Source organism: Homo sapiens, chromosome 12 (genome assembly GCF_000001405.40).
Source record: "Homo sapiens chromosome 12, GRCh38.p14 Primary Assembly".
In the NCBI taxonomy this organism is placed as follows: domain Eukaryota; kingdom Metazoa; phylum Chordata; class Mammalia; order Primates; family Hominidae; genus Homo; species Homo sapiens.
In genome coordinates this window covers 45543485-45567421 of record NC_000012.12, presented here as the reverse complement: position 1 = coordinate 45567421, position 23937 = coordinate 45543485, and the positions used below count along the sequence as shown (strand labels likewise).

At 38.8% G+C, this 23937-nt stretch overlaps 1 long non-coding RNA gene and 1 pseudogene across 2 annotated transcripts in view, besides 1 other annotated feature; both read left to right on the top strand.

Annotated features, from left to right (window-relative positions):
• Positions 1–23937, top strand: part of LOC105369743 (uncharacterized) — a 178153-nt gene that overhangs the window by 1423 nt on the left and 152793 nt on the right. The window lies entirely within an intron of this gene.
• Positions 12763–12832, top strand: LOC124903092 (uncharacterized; annotated as a pseudogene).
• Positions 23282–23576: an enhancer, noted in NCBI's record as "tiled region #5471; HepG2 Activating DNase unmatched - State 12:CtcfO". NCBI's record gives its function as "activates a minimal TATA promoter and a strong SV40 promoter by Sharpr-MPRA in HepG2 cells {active_cell/tissue: HepG2}" and the evidence as "EXISTENCE:reporter gene assay evidence [ECO:0000049][PMID:27701403]".

Sequence of the window (23937 nt, the reverse complement as noted above, 5' to 3'; positions counted from 1 at the left end):
TCTGAGACTTGAAACAATACATTCAGCTATATATTGAACATCTCACAGTCACATAATAATAGTTCAGATCTACTGATGCTCACCAAGCCCAGGCATTGTACTACAACTGTGCTTTCCCTGTGTAACTCACTTTAACCTTAAGGATAATGTCATGAGGTAGATGCTATTATTATCCCCATCTTACAAATGCAGAAACTGAGGTTCAGAGAGGATGAATTACTTGTTGTAAATGGCCAGCTGTTAGGTGGCAGAGCTGGGATTGGAATCTAGGCAGTCTCGTTCATAAGCCACACTCTTAACCATTCACTGTATGTGTCTATTCAACTTGCCAAATCTGAGCTCGTCATCTGCCTACCACACCACTCCTCTGCTGCTCTTTCTGTGTCATTCCTAATTTGGGTAGATGGCCAACTACCAGCTACCTGGTTACAAATATCAGAAATCTGGGAGTTGTTCTTTATTCCTCTTTTTCCCTGAACTTCTGCATCCAATCCAAGCTAGCCCTCAGGGCTTCAAGGCTGACCTCCATCATCTTCTCTAGCCCTGGTACTGCAATCTTCTCCTAAATGGTTTCTAGAATCACATGACCCTCTATTCTTCACCATGCAGTCAGAATGGACTTCTAAGAATAAGTATCTGAAAAATCTGATTGTGTTAATCCTTTGCTAAAAATCCTACAACCAGTTTCCTATGAAGTAAGGTCTGAAAGTTTATTGTTTTCCCTTTTTTTCCCTCCCTGCTCTACTACATATTTCAGCTTAACTGTCACTTCTTTACAGAGACTTTCAGACTAGGTTGGGTCCCTTTTCTAATGCTTCACTAAGGTGATATACTTATTTGTAAATATCTATTAATCACACTTATAATGACTTGTTCAATGTTTGTTTTCATCATTAGGAAATAAGTTACCCAGTGAGAGGAAGAGTGTTTATTTTGTTCATTGCTGTTATCCATGGCACCTTAACACAATGCCTGGCACAGGGCAAGGCATTCAGCACATACTTATTGAATGAATGCATGCATTCATGCACGCGTACATGTTACTAGCAACAAATTGCTTGCAATTCACATCACAGCTGATTACAATTTTGCAGCTGAGAGTCTCTGATCAGACAGTATTGAGCTCCTTTAGCTGACAAAAAGTGTAAGACAGTAGGAGAAAGCTAGGCTTTGACCTTAGGCCTGAGTTCAGATGCCAGATTGCCATTGACATAGGAGACAGTGGATAAGTTATCTAAATACTCTAATGATAATCTCATCAGTAAACTCGGGAGAAAAATCACATCAAAGAGTTGACCTGGAAATTAAGTAATGTAATGTTACCCATTGTCCAGGTCTCCCTGTAGCAATCTCACTGTACTTTGCCAACTCTTTTGCTAAGGCCTCAAAATAAAAATAATAAAATAATAATTGGTGCCTCTTCCTCCACCAGAAATGCCATCCCTATTTCTTCTTGCTGATATATGTTCATTTTCTTAAACTATGGCTCAAAACTCATCTTTTAAAATAATTTAATAATCATTTCAAATAACTTTTCCAATATTCTTGTTTCTGTTTCCTCAGCATTTAAATAGAAAGTTCACTCTATATTGATTTGTGCTTGATCACACCTGCATTTGTGGATATTTTCCAGTTGATTTCCTGGACAGATTACAACTCCCTGGAGGTAGTTCCTTTGTTTCACATGCTGCAAAGTGCTTTCTGCAAAGTTGGCAAGCAGCATCTTAATCAATTGTCATTGAATTAATTAATTAATTAATTCACTCATCCTATCTAGGAAGTAGAAGTTGTTCTACTCATATTTGTCTCTCACAGTTGTAAGTTTCAGCCAGAGCTATTTTAAACAGAAAAAAAGGACCTCACATTGACAGGTTATAATGCAGCTGTTTTTAGTCTTTAATTTGTTTTATTTGACATATAAACTAACCCTGGGGTGCTGTGTTTTTTAAGATCTTATTTCTCAAAGACACTACTCCAGTGAGATAAAAGAATCAAATTTTCTTAGTTTGCCTGTTAAACTGAACATGCCAAAAAAATTGAAAAAATAAATTTAAAAAAGTTATTAGAAAAAAATAAATAACTAGAATAGTCCTGATCTATTAAACAAATTGAATTCACAGTTAAAAGCCTTCTCCACACCTGCTCCCCCACGAAAAAGAAAAACAAAAAAGGTCTAGGCCCAAAAGGCTTCACTAGTGAAGTCTTTCTTTTTTTTTTTTTCTTTTTTTGAGACAAGGTCTTGTTTTGTCACCCAGGCTCAAATGCAGTGGTGTGATTATAGCTCACTGCAGCCTCAACCTCCCAGGCTTAAGCCATCCTCCTGCCTTAGCCTCTTGAGTAGCTAAGACTACAGTCATGAGCCACCAAGCCCAGCTAATTTATTTATTTATTTATTTATTTTTGAGACAGGGTCTTTCACCCAGGATGGAGTGCTGTGGCACGATTATGGCTCATTGCAACCTCTGCCTCTCAGGCTCAAGTGATTCTCTCACCTCAGCCTCCCAAGTAGCTGGGATGACAGGCGCTTGCCACCATGCCTGGCTAATTTTTGTATTTTTAGTAGAGATGGGGTTTTGCCATGTTGCCCAGGCTGGTCTTGAACTCCTGAGCTCAAGTGATCCTCCCGCCTCGGCCTCCCAAAGTGTTCGGATTACAGGTGTGAGCCACTGCCCCTGGCCCCAGCTAATTTACAATTTTTTATTTTTAGTCGCGATGAGGTCTTGCTATGTTTCCCAGACTGGTCTCGAACTCCTGAGCTCAAGCCATCCTCCCACCTCAACCTCCCAAAGTGCTGGGATTACAAGTGTGAGCCACTGAACCTGACTTCACTAGTGAGTTCTATGAAACATCAAGAAAAAGAAACCAATTCTATATAAAATTCTTTTAGGAAATTAAAGAGGAAGGAATGCTTCCAAATTCATTTGTAAGACCAGAATTATCTTGAAAGGTACCCAATATGTCTCATGAAAACAGATGCAAAATCCTTAACAAAATATTAGCAAATTAAATCCAGCAATATGAGAAAAGGCTAATACAACATGACCAAGTAAGGTTTATTCCAGGAATACAAGGTTGGTTCAGCATTCAAAAATCAGCATAATTCACTATATCGACAATGTAAAAAATCCATATACTCATCCCAATAGGATCAAAAAAGACTTTGACTAAATTTAAACTCCACTCACGAAAAAACACAACAATAACAAAACTCAGTGAATACAAGGGAATGTCTTCAACCTGGTAGCATGCGTCTATCAAAAAATCTGCAAAAAAAAAAAAACCCTTAATAATAATTGACTAAATAAATGTCTTTCCTGTAAAATCAGAAAATCAGGAATCCACTATCACTACATCTTTTTAGTATTGCATTGGAGGTCCTAGCAAGTGCAACAAGGCAAAATAAATAAATGGCATGCATTTTGTAAAGGAAAAATTAAAACTTCATATTCTCAGATGATATGATTTTCTACATAGCAGATCCCAAAGAATCTACCAACAAGCTACTAAAATTAACAAATAGGTTTAGCAAAGTTTTAGGATATAAGCTCAAAATACCAAAAAAATTCAATTGTATTTCTATGTACTAGTAATAGACAATTAGGAACAGAAAATTTTGGAAAGCACTATTTAAAATAGCATCTAAAACATAGAAAATTAAAGATAAACCTAACAAAATATCTGTCCAATTTATAAATTAAAAACTAAAAGCCATCGATGAGAGAAATCAGAGAAGACCTAAATAAATGAAGAGCATATTGTCTTAGTGAATCAAAAAACTCAATAGTGTCAAGATGTCAATTTTCCCCAAATTGATATATATATTGAGTAATTCCAATCAAAATCCTACAAGGCTTTTGGTAGAAATCAACAAACTGATCCTAAAAATTATATGGCAACCCTAAGGACATAGAATAGCTAAAAGAATTTTGAAAAAAAAAAAAAAAAAAAAGCAAAATTGTGTGACTAACCCTTCCTTATCTCAAAACTTACTATAAAGCTACAGTAATCAAGACAGCACAGTACTGGCAAAAGGAAAGGCACATAGATCAATTGAACAGAATAGAGAGCATAGAAATAAGCCACACAAATATTGATTTCCAGCAAATATACCAAGATAATACAACACAAAAGATCAGCCTTTCGAACAAATGGTGCCTGCCTATTTGGCCATCCATGTGTAAAACATGAACATCAATCCATATCTCACACCATATTTAAAAGTTCACTGGAAATTGATCAGAGACCTGAATTTAAAATTAAAATTATAATGTCATTATAGGAAGAAAATACAGAAAAAACGTTGCGATTTGGGGTTAGGTGAAGATTTCTTAGGAAGGACACAAAAAGCATGATTCATAAAGGAAGAACGTTAATAAATTAGATTTCAGCAAAATTTAAAAATTCTGCTCTTCATATAACATTGTGAAAAAAATGAAAGGACAAGCCCAAAACAGGCAGAAAAAATGTTTGGAAAATACCTATTCCAGAAAAGACTGGTAACCAGAATATATACAGAACTTTTAAAACTCAATATTAAGAAAACAAACCAATTAAAAGTGGGCAAAAGATTTGAAGAGATACTTCATCAAAGAATAAGATGCACATGGCAAGAAAACACATGAAAATATGTTCAATATTATGTCAGCGGAGAAATGTAAATTAAAAGCACAATGAGATACCACTACAACTACACACCTGTTATGATGGCTCTAACAACAAACTGACAATGTAAGATGCTTGTGAGGATGCTGAGTAACTGAAATTCTCATGCATTTACTGGTGGGAGTGCAAAATGGTACAGCCACTTAGGCAAACAATTTGACAATTCCTTTTAATGTTAAACATACACTTATTGCGTGATTCGAAAAACTTCTATTTAGGCATTTATCCTAGAGAAATGAAGACATGAGTCCACACAAAACCTGTATGGGAATGCTTATAGCAGCCATATTTATAGTTACCCAAAACTAGAAAAAACCAAACAACCAAACAACCAAATACTGAATGGATAAATGAATTGTGGTACATCCATATAAACATAATGGAACACTATACATCAATAAAAAATGAATAAACTAAATATGTTCACAACATTGCTGAATTAAGCATTTTGCCAAGTGAAAGAAGTCAGATTCAAAAGGCTACATCTGTACAATGCCCTTTATATGACATTCTGGAAAAGGCGGAACTAGAAATCAGATCTATGGTTGCAGGTTTCCAGAACTAGAATAGAGGTAGGACATGAAGAACCTTTTAAGATGATGAAAATATTCTCTACCTTGATTGTGAGATGCTGTATAAACGTCACAAAATACATAGAACTGTATATTTTGAAAGATGAATTTTATTGTTTGTCAATTATACTTCACCTTGTAAAATAACACCTTACAGATCTCCTAAAGAAAATGTGTGTAGGCCAGGAGCAGTGCCTCATGCCTGTAATCCCAGCACTTTGGGAGGCTGAGGCAGGCAAATAGCTTGAGGCCAGGATTTCGAGACCAACCTGGGCAACAGGGTGAAATCCCATCTCTAAAAATAATACAAAAATTAGCTGGGCATGGTGGTGCAAGCCTGTAGTCCCAGCGACTTTGGAGGCTCAGGTGGGAGAATCGTTTGAGCCCAGGAAGCAGAGGCTGCAGTGAGCTGTGATCACGCCACTGCATTTCAGCCTGGATGACAGAGTGAGAGAAAAGAAAGAGAGACAGAAACAAAGAGAGAAAGTAAGAGAGGAAGGAAGGAAGGAAGAGAGGAGGGAGGGAGGGAGGAAGGAAGGAAGGAAGGAAGGAAGGAAGGAAGGAAGGAAGGAAGGAAGGAAGGAAGGAAGGAAGGAAACGTGTGTGAATGAAATTACAAAAGCATCAAAACCAGCTCCACATGGCAGTTCCAAACTCTTTTCTGCTCCAGCTTCCCCTCCAAACACTATCCCACCTGGAGCTGGGCTTATGCTCCTGAGCAGGTGGATTCAGGAGGGAAGAAAGAAATTACTTTCTGAGCATTAGCTCAACACTGTTTGGCCAGGAATTCCAAGTTTCATATAGGGAAAATTCTACTCTGCTTGAAAATAGTAATTTAAAAAAGGAATTACCTATGAAATTTACCTATCAAGGAATAAAAGAATGCTGGTTTGAATAATTTTAAGTTAATCAATTTGTAAATGGTTAAGGCCATCTCCAGAAGAAATGTTTGTCTTTTTCAATTTTCACATTTCATTAAACATATAAATCCTACATTCTCTACCTTGGATATTTTTGTCCCCATATCTTAATGTGTGCATCTCGAAAAAATAGTTTTATCCTTAAGTACAAGGAAAATTTCCAGCATGTTTTGCCAAAAAACCACTTACTGGGATAAGCACAATTCCACGACAATGAAAAATTGTGAGGTAGCATTCAAAAGATTCCTGCAGCTTTCCAAACTGGTTTAACAGTTGTGACATATAGTTCTAAGCAAAAAGAGTGCAGGTCAAATATTATCCTGCATATTTACATTTTGGAAGTCTTGCTTTTTTTCCTCTCTAATAGTCTCCGTAGGAGGTCTCATCAAGAATATTTCATATCCATGTTGCTAAATACTTATAAAATTTGAAGACCAGCACCAAGGTATCTTATTTCAAATGTTGGGCTGCATCATTTTCCATGATGGTCCATTATGTTCCTTTCTGTACTTGAAGCTTCGCCTTTTACGGGTCATGAATAAAGTTTGGATGAGTTTCCCATGCCTTAGGATCTTGCATAGAAATATATGACAGTCATATGTTTGATATTTTCTGGGACTTCCACAATTAAAATTTTGTTTCCAGTTGTTAACCTTGTGTCCCAGATTTTGACAGAGAAATACAGTCATTCTATTTGGAAGGGTAAAGATGGGTTTAATAAAATGTAACCCCAAAAGCTCTTCATTGTTTCTCAATAAGTTATATCTTAACTGCAACAGGCCCATGAATTTGTTATTTTTATGAGATCAATTTGATTATAGTTAGTGGCAAGAAAATACTGGGGAAATGTGATAGCATGAAAAATAAATTTTGAAAGCGTATCATTATTGGATATACTTACTGTTAAAGGACCAGATGCTCTTTCTCAAACCATCAGAAAACTTTTATTATCATCCATTTGTCTTTATCTCTTTTAACTTTTGCTTTTTTATTAAAATGGACTGAATTGAATTATTTATTTAGGAGGACTTTCTGTATGTAAAAATCAATATGTCACAGTGTGATTGTCATAGCACAGAACTGATTACAATATGGAATTCAGGGAAAGTTCCCATATTATAGGCTTCTCGTATTCAAGAGAGAGGCCATGGTATTAATAATCTCTTTCTTTAAGATATTTAAACTCAAGCAGCCGAGACAGAACACTTGAACGTTATCTCCCAAACCTGCTTTTTAAAAATCTTTTCTGTTGCTTATGTTTGAAAGTCATTGTTCATCTCTTTCTCTCCTTCAACTCCCAAATTTAACCCCTCAGCAAGTCTCAAATACATCTCAAATCTGTCCACTCTTCTACAGCTTCATGGCACTAGTCCAAACCATCATCTTCTTTCATCATCTTCCATCTAGAGCAGGGGTTGGCAAACTTGTTTTATAAAGGGCCAGATAGTAGATAATTTAGACTCTACAGGCCATATGGTCTCTGAGGCAACTGCTTAACTCTGCCGTTGTAGCATAGAAACAGCAGTAGACTATATGTAAATGAATGGGCATGACTGAGTTCCAAACAATTTTAATTATGAAGGCAGGTCCTTGGTCAGTATTTTGCGTACGCCTGATCTAGTCTATTTCAATCAACTTCTTACTCCCCATGTCCACTCTTGCTTCCCTCCAGTTCCTTCATAATGCAATCAGAATTATCTTTTCACAATTGGAATCTGATTACATAGGCCAAAGACTTTCCATTGCTCTACGGTCTGAGTTTCTTGCCATGGCCAAAAGGCCCCGCATTTTTTTTTCCCTCCTTCCCTTGGCCTTGCATTTTTTGTATCTGACTTCTGCTCTAGCCTCACGAAGTATCATTCTCCTTAGTCTGTATGTTTTACTCACAGGGACTGTTCTTCCCCCTTGGAATTTTCTCTCCAACTGTCACTGCCCAGTTAACTCCTAGTTATCCTCCAAATCTCAATTTGTATGTCATTTACTTCCAAATATCTCCTCTAACCACCATCTTCATTCAGGCTAATTTGGATGCCCTAGCAATAACCTTCATAGAAATTGTAATTAAATCATTAATTTTATAATTATTTATTTAATATTTCTCCCATTTAATAGTAAAGTCCCTGAGGGATCTTGTTCACTGCATATCTTGTTCACTGGGTCTGACATAGTACCAGGTACATGGCACATATGCCAGTTAGTAATGCATTTGGTTGCAAATAACAGAACCTGATTGCAATAGCTGAACCAAATGGAGATTTTTTTTTTTTTTTTTTGAGATGGAGTCTCACTGTGTCACCCAGGCTGGAGTGCAGTGGCGCAATCTCGGCTCACTGAAAGCTCTGCCTCCCGGGTTCATGCCATTCTCCTGTCCCAGCTTCCCGAGTAGCTGGGACTACAGGTGCCCGCCACTGCGCCTGGCTAATTTTTTTGTGTGTTTTAGTAAAGACGGGTTTCACTGTGTTAGCCAGGATGGTCTCTATCTCCTGACCTTGTGATCCATCCTCCTTGGCCTCCCAAAGTGCTGGGATTACAGGCGTGAACCACTGCGCCCAGCTGATTTTTTTTTTTAATCACATAGGAAAATGTCTGAAGACAAGCAGTCCAGTGGTGGTATAGTGTCTCTAAAATGTCATCAAAGCTCAATGATCCATCTCGTTATTGACTGTATCCTCATGGTTACAAGATGGCTGCCACAGTTCCAGGAATTGCATCTGCATTCCAAACAGAAAGTTTAAAGATACTGCCAGATAAATTTCTCCTACTTAAAACAAAAAGCAAAAAACAAAAACTCTTTTCTTTATCTCTCATTATCTAGCCCTAGTAAGATGGTAACCCTTGGCTGCAAGTGAGTCTTGGAAGTTATTATTTTTGTAGAACGTGCTGACATCTTGAAAGAGATGGGATTATATTAGTTAGGAGTAAAAGGAGAATGAATACTGAATAGGCAAGGAGTACCATCTGCCCTAGTAGACAGATTCACTAAATATTTTTTGAATAAACCAATGAAGACTCAAAACTGCTTAGAAATTGAAATAAATCTATTACAGGAAAAGAATATGAGTAACAATGGCACCTGGGCCTATATCAATTTTCTCTTTTTAACAAATTTTACTCTGCTTAATTTTATTGCTTCATTTGCTATAAATGTTTCCAAGGGTCAAAAAAAATAGGCAATTAGCGGGACATAATCTAAACTTAAAATAGTCATTTGTTGTTTTTGGCTTTTGCTCCTGCAGAAATCTTCAAACAACACTAAGCTGGAATGCCTTTACTGATATGTGCATTTTAAGCCAACATTATTTTCTTTGTAAATACCTTATTACAAAATTATAACATATGAATATTTTAGCAGTAATAATATGGGTAATAGTCCTTAATGGCCTGATCTGCCTATAGGCTCCTAGTTCAGTATATAGTATTATTTTCAGGCAACACTATAAAAATCTGATTTTATGTTGCCCCGCTGTGAACATCTTCAAGTCAAATAGCAGAAGCGATGCTCTTCTCTTATTTAATTTTTTAATAGCTCCCTAACCTACATTCTGAAGAATCTATATATAAAATGTAACTAGGAGACAGTCTTAATAACAAAACCATCCAATCTTTTGCAGTCTGTTTTTCTGGTGTAAACTATTTTTTGCAGTTCTGATTCAGTTTAGAAAAGTGAAAATTGGATTTTTCTGAGGCATTAAAGAATTGGAGCAAAGATGTGTTTTTAAGGTTGAGTTATAATATTAAGGATCTTAACAGTGTTTAATAGCACTTGAGAACTTGTTATATGGGAAACTTAAATCATTTCACCAATATCAGCCCCTTGGTCAATGTTCTGGACCTGTTGGGCTGCTCTACACCCTTGCCTCTTTCCTTGGTCAGTGCTCCTTGACTTCCTTATGGGGATATCACCTCTCCCACTGGGTGCAGAGTGGTGGGACTGCTAGGACTCCAGCCAGGAGCTGGACTTCTCTCCTGACTTTGGACAACTTCTGTATTTGGGACTTATTTATCAGACCACTGCCACTGGGTGCCTAGTCTCACAGGCTGCCCTAGTTCCTGTTCTTCTATGACCTGGCTCTCCAACTTCTCTTTGCTTCTATGAGCTGGTTTACATCTTTCCAACAAATTCCACTCCTCTTGGCTGCAGTTGCTGCAACCAAAGAGCCCCAGTGATACAATCTGCTACACTGGAATATAAGCACCATGACACAGGCAGTGTGGCAGAGACTGCTAGACAACTAGCCAGTATCATTTCTTCTTTACTAACAGATTCCTGATTTTACTTAGGATAGAAATATGCCCAGCTAAAAATGTTCACCCTCCCATTCTGGTTTCCAGTGAGGGGTGGCCACGTGATGTAGCTCTGGTCAATGACATATGAGCAGAAGTCTGTTGGTGATTTCTATAAAGCCTTTACTTTCCTAACACGGGCATTGCCTCTTCCTTCTCTGTTTTCTTTTGCTTGTTTGGTATGCAGATATAATTTCTCACAGTGGAATAGTTATCTTGTGATCATGAAAGGACAAGTGTGCGTATAAAAATCAGCCCTTTAAGGAGGGTAAACAGACAGAGAGAAGCTGGGTCCTTGATGGCATCACAGCCTACCCTGCCAATCTTGGCTGCCTCCCTCATGATTTCTCATTAGGCCAAAATTATAAAACTCTCTTTGGTAAAGCCACTGGAGTGGGATTTTCCATTACTTAGTGTCATACTAATATTCCTAACTAATATGGGTGTTTTGTCTATTATTATGTATTCAGTGTTTGAACCCCTACCCCTAAAACAGTGCCTGATATATAACAAACATTAAAATATATTTGTTAAATGAATGAATGAATGATAATTGCTAATGAGAGAATCTTCATTTCTATATATAATCCCTTAGTATCACCATCTCATAGACAGGGAAAATGATACATGCTGCATACATTTAATGTATTTGCAGTTAGTGGCTCTATCACTTGACTTAGCCTTTCTGATGCATTGACTTTATCCAAGTATGCTGCAGAAGAGAAAATGAATTTGAAAAGAAAGAACATACGTAAAAAAAGAGAATAAGTCATCATTTAATTATAAATCCTGGTCCAGAAAATATGGCAAAAGAGGTTATTTCAGAATTTGAAGATCTACTTTGTTTCTTCACTCCATTGATCTGGTCCCTTCCTGCTAGTAGGCTGTACATACCAATGTGTGGTTCATACACCATTTAACATACCATCACCTTGTCCTTCAGAGACAGAACAACTGATCTGCTATCTGTAGGATATAAACTCTGATTTCCCCCCAAATCAGGAACATTTGGGGCACAGCCCCCTTACTGTCTTGTTTGCTCCTTCTTGTGGTCTGAGGCACTGTGTTGGTCATAAAGCGATTGTGTCTCAGCTCCACCTCCCGCCACTCTGCTCTGTGTTGCTGGGGCTGGGCCTGAAGACCACCTTTCTCCTTTGCCAGCTGGATCCCATGAAGTTCCACCAATGGAACTGGAAGGCAGGAGGAAGAAAGGGGGACTGATCCTTCCTGTTTATTCATTGTTACCACCTGCATCACTCCAGCATTAGCCCTTCATCTTGTCAGTGGCAGTTTGCTCTAGTTTACAACTTTTTTTCCCATCAGTTAGACCAAAATTTGTCTCATCATTCCCATAAGAGCTGGGAAGGGTCTTTTTTCCTGAGGTCTGAGTATAAGCTCAGTAGGATACTTCTTCCGACCTCTTAAGTTTTAATAACCCCACCTCTTTCATTTTGTTTCGCCAGCCCTATAGGGAGAAGCTACCTTTTCTGTGTGTTATTTTGGTGTTCTCTTCTTGCCTTTTCAGTCCTCCAACGATTTTCTGACTAATTCCTTTTTTTTTTTTTTTCTTTGAGACAGGATTTTGCTCTGTCACCCAGGCTGGAGTGTGGTGGTGTGATCACAGCTCTGTGTAGCCTCGACCTCCTGGGTTTAAGCCATCCTCCCATCTCAGTCTCCCGAGTAGTAGCTGGGACTACAGGTGGGCAATACCACATCTGGCTAATTTTTGTACATTTTGTAGCGATAGGGTCTTGCCATGTTGCCCAGGGTGATTTCAAACTCCTGGGCTCAAGCAACCTGCCTGGTTCAGCCACTCAAAGTTCTCGGATTATAGGCATGCGCCACCATGCCTCATCCAACTAATTCTTTATATCTTTTTTTCCCTGTTAAAATAACTGAGGTAGTTTTTGTTTTCCTGACTGGCCCTTATCAAAATGTGCATCATGTTTAAAATAGCAGGATGGGGCTGATAAGGGCTCACCTTGTGTGAATGACCTCCTTTCCGTTGGTCTCTGATTACCTCCATCCACCTCTGCTTCAACCGAAACAGCTTCTCTTTATATATATATTTGACTTCCATGTAAGATTCTGGTTCCACAGCTCAAAAATATTGGAAAACCGTTGAACTGACCTAATTGGTCCTTACTATCAAGAAGTGACTTAAGTACAGAACTTAGAAAAATTGTAGTCTATAAAACATTATTTCATGGAAATTAAAGAATATTAAGTAGTTAACAAGTCACCAAGACTGGTGAGATTTTCATAATCCAAAGCTATCCTCTCTTGAGTGTCCTCCTAACTGGTTGCAATGTTTCCAGTTTCATGTGCTCGCTTCGGCAGCACATATACTAAAATTGGAACGATACAGAGAAGATTAGCATGGCCCCTGCGCAATGTTTCCAGTTTCTTTCTCTCACCACGTGAAAATCTGGACTATCCCTCAAAGCCCAGCTCTATTGCCGCCTGCTTTAGACAGCCTCCCCTAAGGAGACAAGCCAGTACTCATCTCTCTTTTGTAACTTCATATGACATGGGGTCTATTTACTTCATCAACAGCACTGTTCTTACTCCCCAGTAGGCTTTATAAAAGTCCTTAAGGGCTGGGTGCGGTGGCTTACGCCTGTAATACCAGCACTTTGGGAGGCCAAGGTGGGTGGATCATTTGAGGTCGGGAGTTCAAGACCAACCTGGCCAACACGGTGAAACCTCACCTCTACTAAAAATACAAAAAATTAGCCAGGAGTGGTGGCAGATGCCTGTAGTCCCAGCTACTTGGGAGGCTGAGGTAGGAGAATTGCTTGAACCTGGGAGGCAGATGTTGCAGTGAGCCGAGATCGTACCACTCCACACCAGCCTGGGCGACAGAGTGAGACTCCGACTCAAAAAAAGAGTCCTTAAGCAGGAGAACCAGTCCTATTCATTTGCATTTCATATTGGAGGTGGCACCTGATGCTGTCCAACCAGGCAGCAGAAAGTAGGGAAAAGAGCAAATAATTGGGAATGCAAAGATCTGCATTCGTGTTTGAGGCCTAACTTCATCTAAGCCATCAATTTCATCATCTTTTGTGGAGCACTTTCCTAGGGTTAATCACGTCTTTGAGTCTCAGTTGCATTATCTGTGAAGTGGAGAGAATAAATAATAACCTATCTTAGAGGTTATGTTAGGCTCAAATGAGGTAACAGATGTAAAACTGCTCTATAGCTATTTATTGTTGTGCTCTAAATGTACCTATTGAATTAAATTTTATATGGTCAGTACTCTCAAGGCAATTACATGAAAAGACTTGAGTGTTTTCCCTTAGTCACTTGATCTCTTTAGGGTTTTATGATATTCTGGTTTTGTTGTGTCACTCACAACAATTGTTAAGGGCCTTAAATGTTCTAACCAATGCTGGCTGTTACCCCCACATCATTGGACATGCAGCCAAATGCCCATGATAGGGTCCCTACAAATTATCCATTAGCCTATGGAACTTTGCCAATATCCCATTCAGCCAAAGAGCTCAGGCTTGAATTGATTATACATCCAAGTAGTTATGCAGTAAATGCTCTCGAATGCCGGCATCAGAGAGAGCTGAACAGGAGCCAGTCATCACCTGACTCATCAATGCAGAACGTGGGAATAATGATCAAAGTTGCTGCAGGTCTTGGGTTTTCTCTCCTGTTTCCTCTGCTCTCCCTCAATTCTTTACACAATTATTTTCCACAACATTTTAAGGGGTTTCCACAATAAGATATTATGAACTCTATTTTACAGAAAGGTCTTGGCTGATAATGTTCTCTCTTCCATTTCAAATATTTTTAATGCAAAACAAAAATAATCTGATGTTGCTTTGTGTTGAGGACCACCCACTGAAAGCACTGTAGTTTATATTTCTGGAAATCACCTAGACTTAGGAAGTGGAATCCCTTAATTCATATTCCGTGCAAAGCAGAGCCTGAGACAAGGAGTTGGGTGCAGCTGGTTAGTTTGGGAGGTGATTCTAGAGGCAGGAGTGAGGGAGCCAGGGGTGTGAGTTGGGGAAGAAGAAGTCACCTGCTAGGAGCAATGTGGGGAAGACAATTCTGCTGAGACCTCTTGAGAAACACACAGAATGCTTCCTAGAATTGTCCTCCTGCAAGCCAGTGGCTGTTGCCCCTCATTGAGTGAGGGTTTCCCCACTAAGCTTTACCTCCCCTGCACTTCTAGGCTCAGCTCTTCATGTCCCAGTGAGTAAGCTCTCTGACACAGAGCAGAATGTGGTAAGACACACATCCAAGGTGTAGCGTGAGGTGGGAGAGTTGATTGCACGGAACTGTCTACTACAGCCATGGCTGATATCAGAAGTAAGCCAAGGACGTGTGACAAGAGCACCAGAGGCACCTGCTACATGGGAGTTCTGTTTTTGTGGGTACAGATTATCCTGCTTGTAAAATATTTACATGCAATTGGTACTTGGTAGTTGTTTTCAATGACATCAACAATAGTGTCATCTAAAATTTATTGAGCATTATGTATGCCAGGCTCTGTACTAAGCATTTTAAAAATATTTCTTCTAGTTAACTATGATTATTATTAAAGTAACTACAATTGCATGTAGTTAATTCACAAGTAGAATAATTTTGGCCATTTTTGCCCTTAGTAGTAGTAAAAATACATACATATTATTCATATAAGACAGCTTTCAGCTCTGGATTAAAGAGGAGCCTGACTCTTGCATCAGATTTTATCTTAAAATATCCAAATATGATACTATTTATGATGTTTTATCAGTGGTAGTAGAGTAGAAAGGGTAAAGTTATATCTAGTAAGCCAGGTTATGTACAGAAATCACAGCCTGTTGTGACTGTTACAGATGGGACATGGTTGTGTTGGAGAAAAGTCAAGAATTTTTGCTCTAGGCTACACCTACTTTTTTCCTCAATTTTTTAAAAACGTGAACTTAAAAATATCAAGTCAAGAATGTCCTTGTTTAATAATATGCATTTTAAATTTGCTAATAAGAAGTGTGTTAGATCTGATCATTTTGAACATTTTCCACTTAGCTCTTAACTATAAAATCCCCACAGAGGAAAAATGTTTAAGGGAAGAGCCTTCTGTGCCAGGGACCATGAATTGAACAAAAAGAGCCAGGAAGATTGGGCTGTTCTTATTCAACATTGGAAGCAGTAGTGATGCTTGAGGACACCTGTTCTGTGGAGTAGGCCCCACTGTCATCCAGGCTTATCTTATCATGCAGGTCTGGTCTTTCCTTTCCAGAAAGCTTCACATGTGAACATCAAAGGCCAAAGAACAGTGAAAGAACTGATATCAGTGCTCAAATAATTGTTTTTACACATATATATGTAAATTTCCTCTTGTTGCCTTCCTAATTTGATGGATAACTGATGATAATAAGGCACCAGAATGGGTGTGATTACGTTGTTGATGTGTGATACTGGTAGCAGGAGCACTGTGCTAAGAGGCAAGAGATGCATTTCCACTCCTGGCTTAGCAGGTAACCAGCTGTATGACCTTCAGCAAGTTACTTCCATTTTCCTGACCTCGGCTTTCCCAATGGTAAAATACTGGGGCCAGACCAGCTGAGCTCTAAACTCCCATCTAACTTCACATTCCATGGTTTGTTGTGTACAGTTCAATAGTATTTCTTTTCTTGTCTTGTTTGGGATATGGTTAAACATGGAAGAGAGCAAGGGCAGAGAAACTCTAAAATCACAATGAATTTTAAAGTCAACTAGAAATAGGTTTCATAGCAGATGAGTGTAGATACTTTTGCTTCATGTAGATTATTTTTTGAATATTCATATTTATTTTTAAATTATACTTTAATAAAAAATAGGCTCTTTACTCATGGTTTGTTTGTTTCTTTTTCCTTCCTTCCCAGATTCTTAGTATTTCTGCCTCTCAGTTATTTGTCTTGAAATTCTAGTAAAGTCCTGAAATGGAATGATTTATTGATTTATATCTGTCTCTTTCCAAAAGAACTAGGAGTGGCTTCTTGGTGTGTAGGCGGTGGTGGTATTAAGAGAACTGGCATTGTTACCCTGTTAATCCTTTATCTGACTGCTGGTGCTTTAGGATTTTCTGATACTTCCGCCTGGTGATTTTCCTCATGCTATGTTTATTGCTTATGTTTTTTAACTTCAGAATTCTTCAATTCTGAACTTTTTCTAGATGATGCGTTTTAGAAACATAATGTCTAGGCCTATCAATTGCATTCTACAGACTTAGTTTTTTGTAAAAATAGTTCCAAGTCCCCTATTTAATTTAGGTATAGCTCAATACAGTGACCCAGAAAAAAAAAAAAAAGGACCTTCTTTCCCTCTCCTTACCCGATTTTTAAACAAGTAATTTTAGATGCTAGTAAAATTGAAAAAACATATTTGAAAATGAGTGAGCTCTTTAACACAGGGCAAAATATAGTCGAACAAATGAGAGGCAGCATCATGACACATTATCTATCATAGCAAAAAGTGAAAAACAATGTAAGTGTCCAAAAATAGAGGTGTGATTAAACAAATGAGGGTACATTTGAAAAATTGTTCTGAGTGTATTGTTAGACAAAAGCAGGCTATATAACAGAATTTATAATATAATTTTAAAAATGTAAGACAATGTACAATGCATAGAAGAAAAGCCTGGAAGGATATAGCTGGAGACATTCACAGGGGCTCCATATTAAGAAGGTGGGGAATTAAGACTAATTTTAAATTTTTTTCTTGTTCAGCATCTGAAGTTTCCTAAACTGTCTACAAGAAACATGTATTATTTTGTAACAAGAAACAATACTACAAAAATAAATTTCAGTTGAATGAAATAGTAAATGAACAAATAAGTTAGTTAAAATCTTAGAATAAAATTTAGGAGACTATATTGAAAATGTGGCGACAGGGAGATCATGAAGACAAAGATGGGGAATCCAAAAACTATAAAAGAAAAGATATTTGACTTTATGAGAGCTTGTTTTGTCTGATAATAGATATCAAAAAATGGGCCAAAAACTGTTTTAAAAATATTTGCAATGCATATAGTAAATAAGAGGTTAGTATCTATAATATATACACAACTTCTACAAACACATTAACAAAAGAAACCCAAACAAGTCAGTAAACCAAGCTTGTGGATGGACAGGTCATACAACTGTGAAAGCAAACGCCATACAAAAAGATATTTGTCTTAGTCTGTTTTGTGCTGCTCTAACCACAATAAAAGAGACTGGATAACCTATAAAGAAAAGAAATTTATTTCTCACAGTTCTGCTGTTCTGGAGGCTGAGAAATCCAAGATCAAGGCACCAGCACCTGGTGAGGGCTTTCCTCCGGTGGCAAAAGGAGGCATCGCAAAGAAAGGGGGAGAGAGAGAGACAGAGAGTAAAAGGGGGTGGAATTTTCCCTTTGATTAGGAACTCACTCTTGTGATAATGGCATTAATTCGTCAATGAGGGCAGAGCCCTCATGACCTAATCACCTCCTAAAGGCTCCACCTTACAACTCTGTTGCATTGGAAATTAGGTTTCCAACATATGAACTTTATGACTCACATTCAAATCATAGCAATGTTCTATTTTCCCAGTAGTTAAGCAAATGTAGGTTAAATAAAAATGAAGTATTCAGAATGGCAGAAATCAAAAAGAGTGATAATGCCTAATGCTGTATGGACATAGGAGAAGAAGATCCTCTCAGCATTGCTGGTGGATGTGTAAAATGCTTTAACTTTTTTGGAAAGCAATCTGGCAATATCTAATATCTACTAAAATTTTTTCCAATAATCTGATAGAATAGGACATTATTTTCCTCTTCTAACATTTTTTTCCATGTAAAGAGAGCTCTGTTTGGAGAACAATCCTGACTTCTCTTCATTTCCCTAAGTGAATTATCTGATCGGTAAATTTGAGGATCGGGACTTAGACATGTGTTGCTCAGCCTGTCCTTTCCTACTTCTGGGATCTACTTACCTGCAGAGAGCATGAACGCTGATATTTTCTTGGCCAATAAGCTCAGTGGCTATGGGTCTGCCCCTGTAGCGGGCCTCTGGTTAATTAGCACTGCCTGGGCCTGGGTAGGAGGTGGGTTAGTATGGCTACTGCGGAGATGGGCTCCTCAGATCTCCTTCGAGAAAACTTGCTGTGCAAATTATATCTGGTTGACAGCCTCCAGCCATTAAACATTTACACATGCCACAGCACTCAGGCTGAGACCACCCTGTCTGGACGGGACAATCTTTATTCTGGTACCTTGAGTGATCTGGCTGAGACTTTCTCCGAGCTACCTTCTCCTATCCAGTCCTTCTTTCCCTCTCTCCTTTCCCAGTTGTCAGACTTGCATCACAACCTGAAGACTCTGTCTGCTTACTCCTGTCTGTTTTCATTTTATGCTTCATAAGTATTTCCTCCAATAATCATTTGCCAGTTGCATTCCAACTTGGTGACTGCTTCTCAGAGGACCCAGACACACAACTGGTACCAGGAGTGGTCTGAGGACGAAGGCAGTAGGATGGGTTGGGGGTTGGATAATTCGCTGGTGGCAAGGAGCACCCCACCCCATGAGTATTAGTTTCCTATTGCTGCTGTAACAAATTAGTGGCTTAAAACAGCATGTATTTATTATCTTAAAGTTCTGGAAGACAAAAGTCCAAAATGGGTCTCATTGGGCTAAAATCAAGATGTCAGCAGGGCTGTGTCCCTCTGGAGGCTCTCAGGGAGAATCTGTTTCCTTGCACTTTCCAGCTTCTAGAGGCCAGCGTTCCTTGGTTTATAGACCGTTCTTCAAAGCCAGTAGCATACATCTTCAAATTTCTCCCAGCTCTGACTTTTATCTCCCTTTTTCACTTATAAGGACTCTTGTGATCACACTGGGCCCACCCAGACAGTTCAGAATAGCCTTCCCATCTCAAGACCCTTAGCTTATTCACATCTGCAAAGTCCCATTTGCCATGTAAGTAAACATATTCACAGGTTCTGGTGACTAGGACAGAGACATCTTGTGGGGAAGGAGGGGCATTATTCTACTCTGCCTAATATGCCACGTATTATGTAGACATGGATAATCCCTGATATAAAGTGCAGTTCAATTGCTAAAAATTTAACCAGTGGTGACCTGGGTAGATGGAAATGCCCTTGATGATTCAGATATTTTAAATGCAATGGGGAGGAACAAATGCAGTGATGTTGGCAGTGATGTTAGTTGATGTTTAGAGGTTGTATTAATGCTCTGCAGGGAGATAATGAGAAGCTGAGGGCTATGAGTGAACATCTATAGGCTGAATGTGGGAGCTGGAGAGCCCCTCTGTAAGGCCTCTTTGGGAGTTTAGTAAGAGGCCCTAATCTCCTGCAGTGGAAGCATGGATGTAGCCGAGGAGCAAGTGTAGGACTTAGTAGTTAGAATCCAGGAGCTCCAGAGACCTGTAAATTCTCAACAAGTCAGGTCTGTACTGTTAAGATCAGGGCTCTGGTTGGGAAAGCTTAGGATCCTGAAATATGGGATGGGGACATCTGGGTGGTTGCCTGCAAGGACTGTAGCTGTGTGGACTCTTCTGAACCCACAACACTCTGAGCCCAACCCTCTCGATGAAAAGCTAGCCCTTCCCTCATGTGGGAAGACTGCTGTGGCCTTCCTCCACAAAGCAACAGGTGTTCCTCTAAGGAGCTGCCTCTACTGCCTCTCCTGAATGCCTCTATGATAACTAGGGTTAACTCCCAGCAGAGTTGAGCTAGGAATGTGCTAGGACTGATAAGGGAGGAAAGAGATTACACCTCAAAGGAGCTTCAAAGATTAAATAGCACTTACTGGCAGGAGCCAGGGAGGTACACTGGGGAATAAATTTTGATGAGGCTTAATCAAGGAGGCAGAACATACAACTGGATAAGCAAGAATTCACTGACTTTAGGGAACTTTCTCAGTACATGGGGTTTAACGCCGGCGAGGACCCCAGGGGATGGGGCAAACTTGCTGCTAGGGTCGCTCTTAGAAATCTGGGCTGGGGCCAGTGACCCAGCTGGCTGGTCAGAGGACTGGGGAAAAGGATGGACACTGTTTCTCAAGGACACCACCAGCATCTTGGTAGCAGCTCAGCTACAAAGGGTCACGTCCATCCTGGAAGGGCCAGTGGTTTGACCTCACAGGACAGATACTGATTCTCGGTGTTAGTTTGCCTTTCCTTTCTGCAAAGCCTCAGCCAAAACTCACCCAGGAGCTTGCCAAATGCCTGATCTGCAGGTGTGGAATCCCATACAGCATAGCATCTGACCATGGGACCCACTTCACAGGAGGTAGATCAAAACCAGCTGACTCAGACATATTTCTGCAATGTATTGTTAAGGGCAAAAAGCAAGATCTAGGGAAGTATATATATAGCATGAGCCTATTTTTGAAAATCAGAAAATGACAACCCTACTCCATGTTTGTTTATGTTTGTTTATGATTCTGACAACATGGAAAATGTCATGAAAGGATATGTACTGGCCACTAACCCTGGTTATGTTGGAGTTAGGATGAAGCAGAGGAATGTCTGGTAAAAAAGAGGAATGCTCAATGACAGAGGGAAGGAGGAGGATTTTAAAAAGTCTACATTTTAAAAAATTGCTCAGGATAAAAGAGTATTGTGATATTACTGTACCACTAAAATATAAATAGTGGTTATCTTAAAGTGATGGAATTCCAGAATATGCCAGCCTCTGTCCTCTGTTGCTTTCTGGCAATCACTCAGTCTTATATATGGAATCCTCTGTCCATCAACCACGTTGGTATTCAGTGTTTTAATCTGAAAGAAGAGAACCAAACCAAGCCTCCTGTGATATGCAAAGGCAGTGGTAGAGTTACAAGATTTCTAGACACACACACACACACACATACACACACACACACTTTTATATATAACAGTATATATGTATATATATATTTCAGTACAGCATAAAAAGTATCAACTTTGTACAACATGTCAGATAGGTTGCAAAGTGCTGGTGACACCAAGATGAATAAGACACAGTTTTACAGTATAAAGGGGGAATCAAAGCTATTTAATCTGTTAGATAGCAACAGATTAATTGAGTACCGTATGGAAGTGTTAGAAGCGTATTGACAGGGTAGTCTGGGGTCTCAGGGTGTGGGAAGGGGGTCACATAGCACAACCCAGGCTTGGGAAGGGTAAATGATACCCAATACCCCTCCAGCACCACATCAAGAAATGCCCATTTTCATTGCCTTAAGGACATGCAGTACAATCTTAGGTATTTTAAGAAAGACAGCACTTAAAATAAAGATTGAAAGGAAATATGTCAAAATCTGGACAGTGGTGATGAAGCTATTCCTTTCTATATATTCCTAATTTGTTCCAATAAGTGTGTGATGGGAGATTTTTATTTTATTTTGGTTGGATTATATCAGCTCAGGATGTTAAAACCTGCATCTTGCACAAATGAAATGCTCTCTACTGAATCAAAATGGATAAACAAAATTACTTAATGTAGGCAACATGGTAGCTCAAATCTCTAAAACCATAAAGTTCATGATAGAAGACCAGTGAAAGGTGTCTGTAGTAGTGAAAACTTTGGAAGCCACCAAACAATGAACCCGAAGATATTTTCTGGCTCTGGGGTTCTGTAATGAAAGTCCCTGAGGGTTTTCCTCTATATGTGCTCCTTTGACATAATCTCTTCTAAGAAAAGATGTGTGGTTAATTAGGTAGTTACCCATCGATAATCGCACCACCAGGTTTTCATGCCTTTGTAGATTCTTCACAAGCAATGGAAGCCCATACAGTAATCTTCACTCTTTCCTAGAGTAACCCTAAGAAATCAGCATTTTATATATCTGGAAATGGAAATCCAGGGGTCAAATGATTTGCTCAGAAAGTTTCTGAGTTAAGACTAGGTATTAAAATTTTTAGAGTCTCCTTCATCCATAAGCCTTGGAAATAGCTTCAGAGTTGTTGATGAGAATCATTTTTTTTTTTTTTTTTTTGCTGCTGCTGTTTCAAATACAGCTGGCTTCTCCTCTGGGCCCTGGTCTTACCATCCCGTGCCTGGCCCCTACCCTGCCTACTGCCCTGCATACTGCATGGTGCCTACTGCCTCCACCGCAAAACTCATCACACCCTACGAAAATTACATAATGTCTGCCTTTCCCATAAACCATACAATCTTTTCTTTGCTAGGTCTAAGACAGTGCCTGACACAAGTACAATCGTAATTAAGTAATTCATATATAAAATAATAAATATGTGTCTTTGGGTCACATAATGGCTAATTAAACACATCAAATGCTAACGATTTGTCAAGCACAGCTCTAAGCATTTTACACGTAGTAACTCATTTAACTCTCCCAACAACCAAAGGCAGTAGGTACTATTATTACTCTCATTTACACACAAGGAAATAAGGAACGGAGAGGTAAATTAACTTGCCAGGTTACACAGCTAGTAAATGGTAGAATTGAGCCTTGAACCCAGTCAGTCCGATTGCGCAGTCTGTGGTCTTAACCATGTTTAAGTCATCTAACCTCTCTATTCCTTAAATTTTCTAACAGAAAAATGGAGGTAATAATACCTACTGACTGGATTGTTGGAAGAATTTTTAAAATAATTTTTTTTAAAGAGAGTACGCACAAAGCTTTGTGCACATCAGGCATTATAATTACTTTTGTTATCAGTACCATCATTAATACCTTATCATTAATATAGTTAATTGTTAAATATAACTTTTCTACCAAAAAATAAAATACAATTATAAAAATATATTGATGAATACTTGATCCATCAAGTGAAATAAGAGCTGTGGCTTTCTTGATCTTAACTTTTTAAGATTTTCTGAATGACTTTGGGAAGATAAATTTTTGTCATTTTGTTGGGTTTTACTCATCACATCCCTCCAGTGGCATCTGCTGCCTGCCCAGCTCTATTCATCAATTATTGAACTTGTTATTACTCAGGCAATTCTCCTAGAGCACTGGGTGGTAACCGAGCAAGGGGATTGCCAAATCACTCTCAGCTGAGAAGGGATAGAGTCTCCCCCTAGTGTTGATCTTTGTGCGGAAGAATCCAAACCCAGCTTCAAGCTCTTCATGGGGCTTTTTGGTTTAGTCTGATTCTCATGACTGCAATGTGACTTTTGAAGCTAAGATTTCAAGAGTTCTGATTCTTCAGGACTTCAGCAGCAGAAATGGGGATTTATCTAGCATATTTAGTGTTTCGTATAAACCATGAATGAATATAGCTGTATATTCACACGTGTTCTGACCACTTTTCTTTTAATCATTCAGTTTTAAGATGCTGAACCCTTTAACAGTTCAGGATTAATAGTAATTACTCTACAATCCAGTACAGGGCTGACTTGAGCCACACTGGAAAGAAAGTAAGTAGAGAAAGTAAGTTTAGAATGGGTACTTCCTAAGTGACAAGTATCTTTATCCTCTGTTTCATTCACCTAGTAAGTTTTAAGGTAGGCATTAGTCTACCCACAGATATAGGGACTGAAGCTCGGAGAGCTTAAGAGGCTTGCCCAATTATTACACATTGAATACATCAT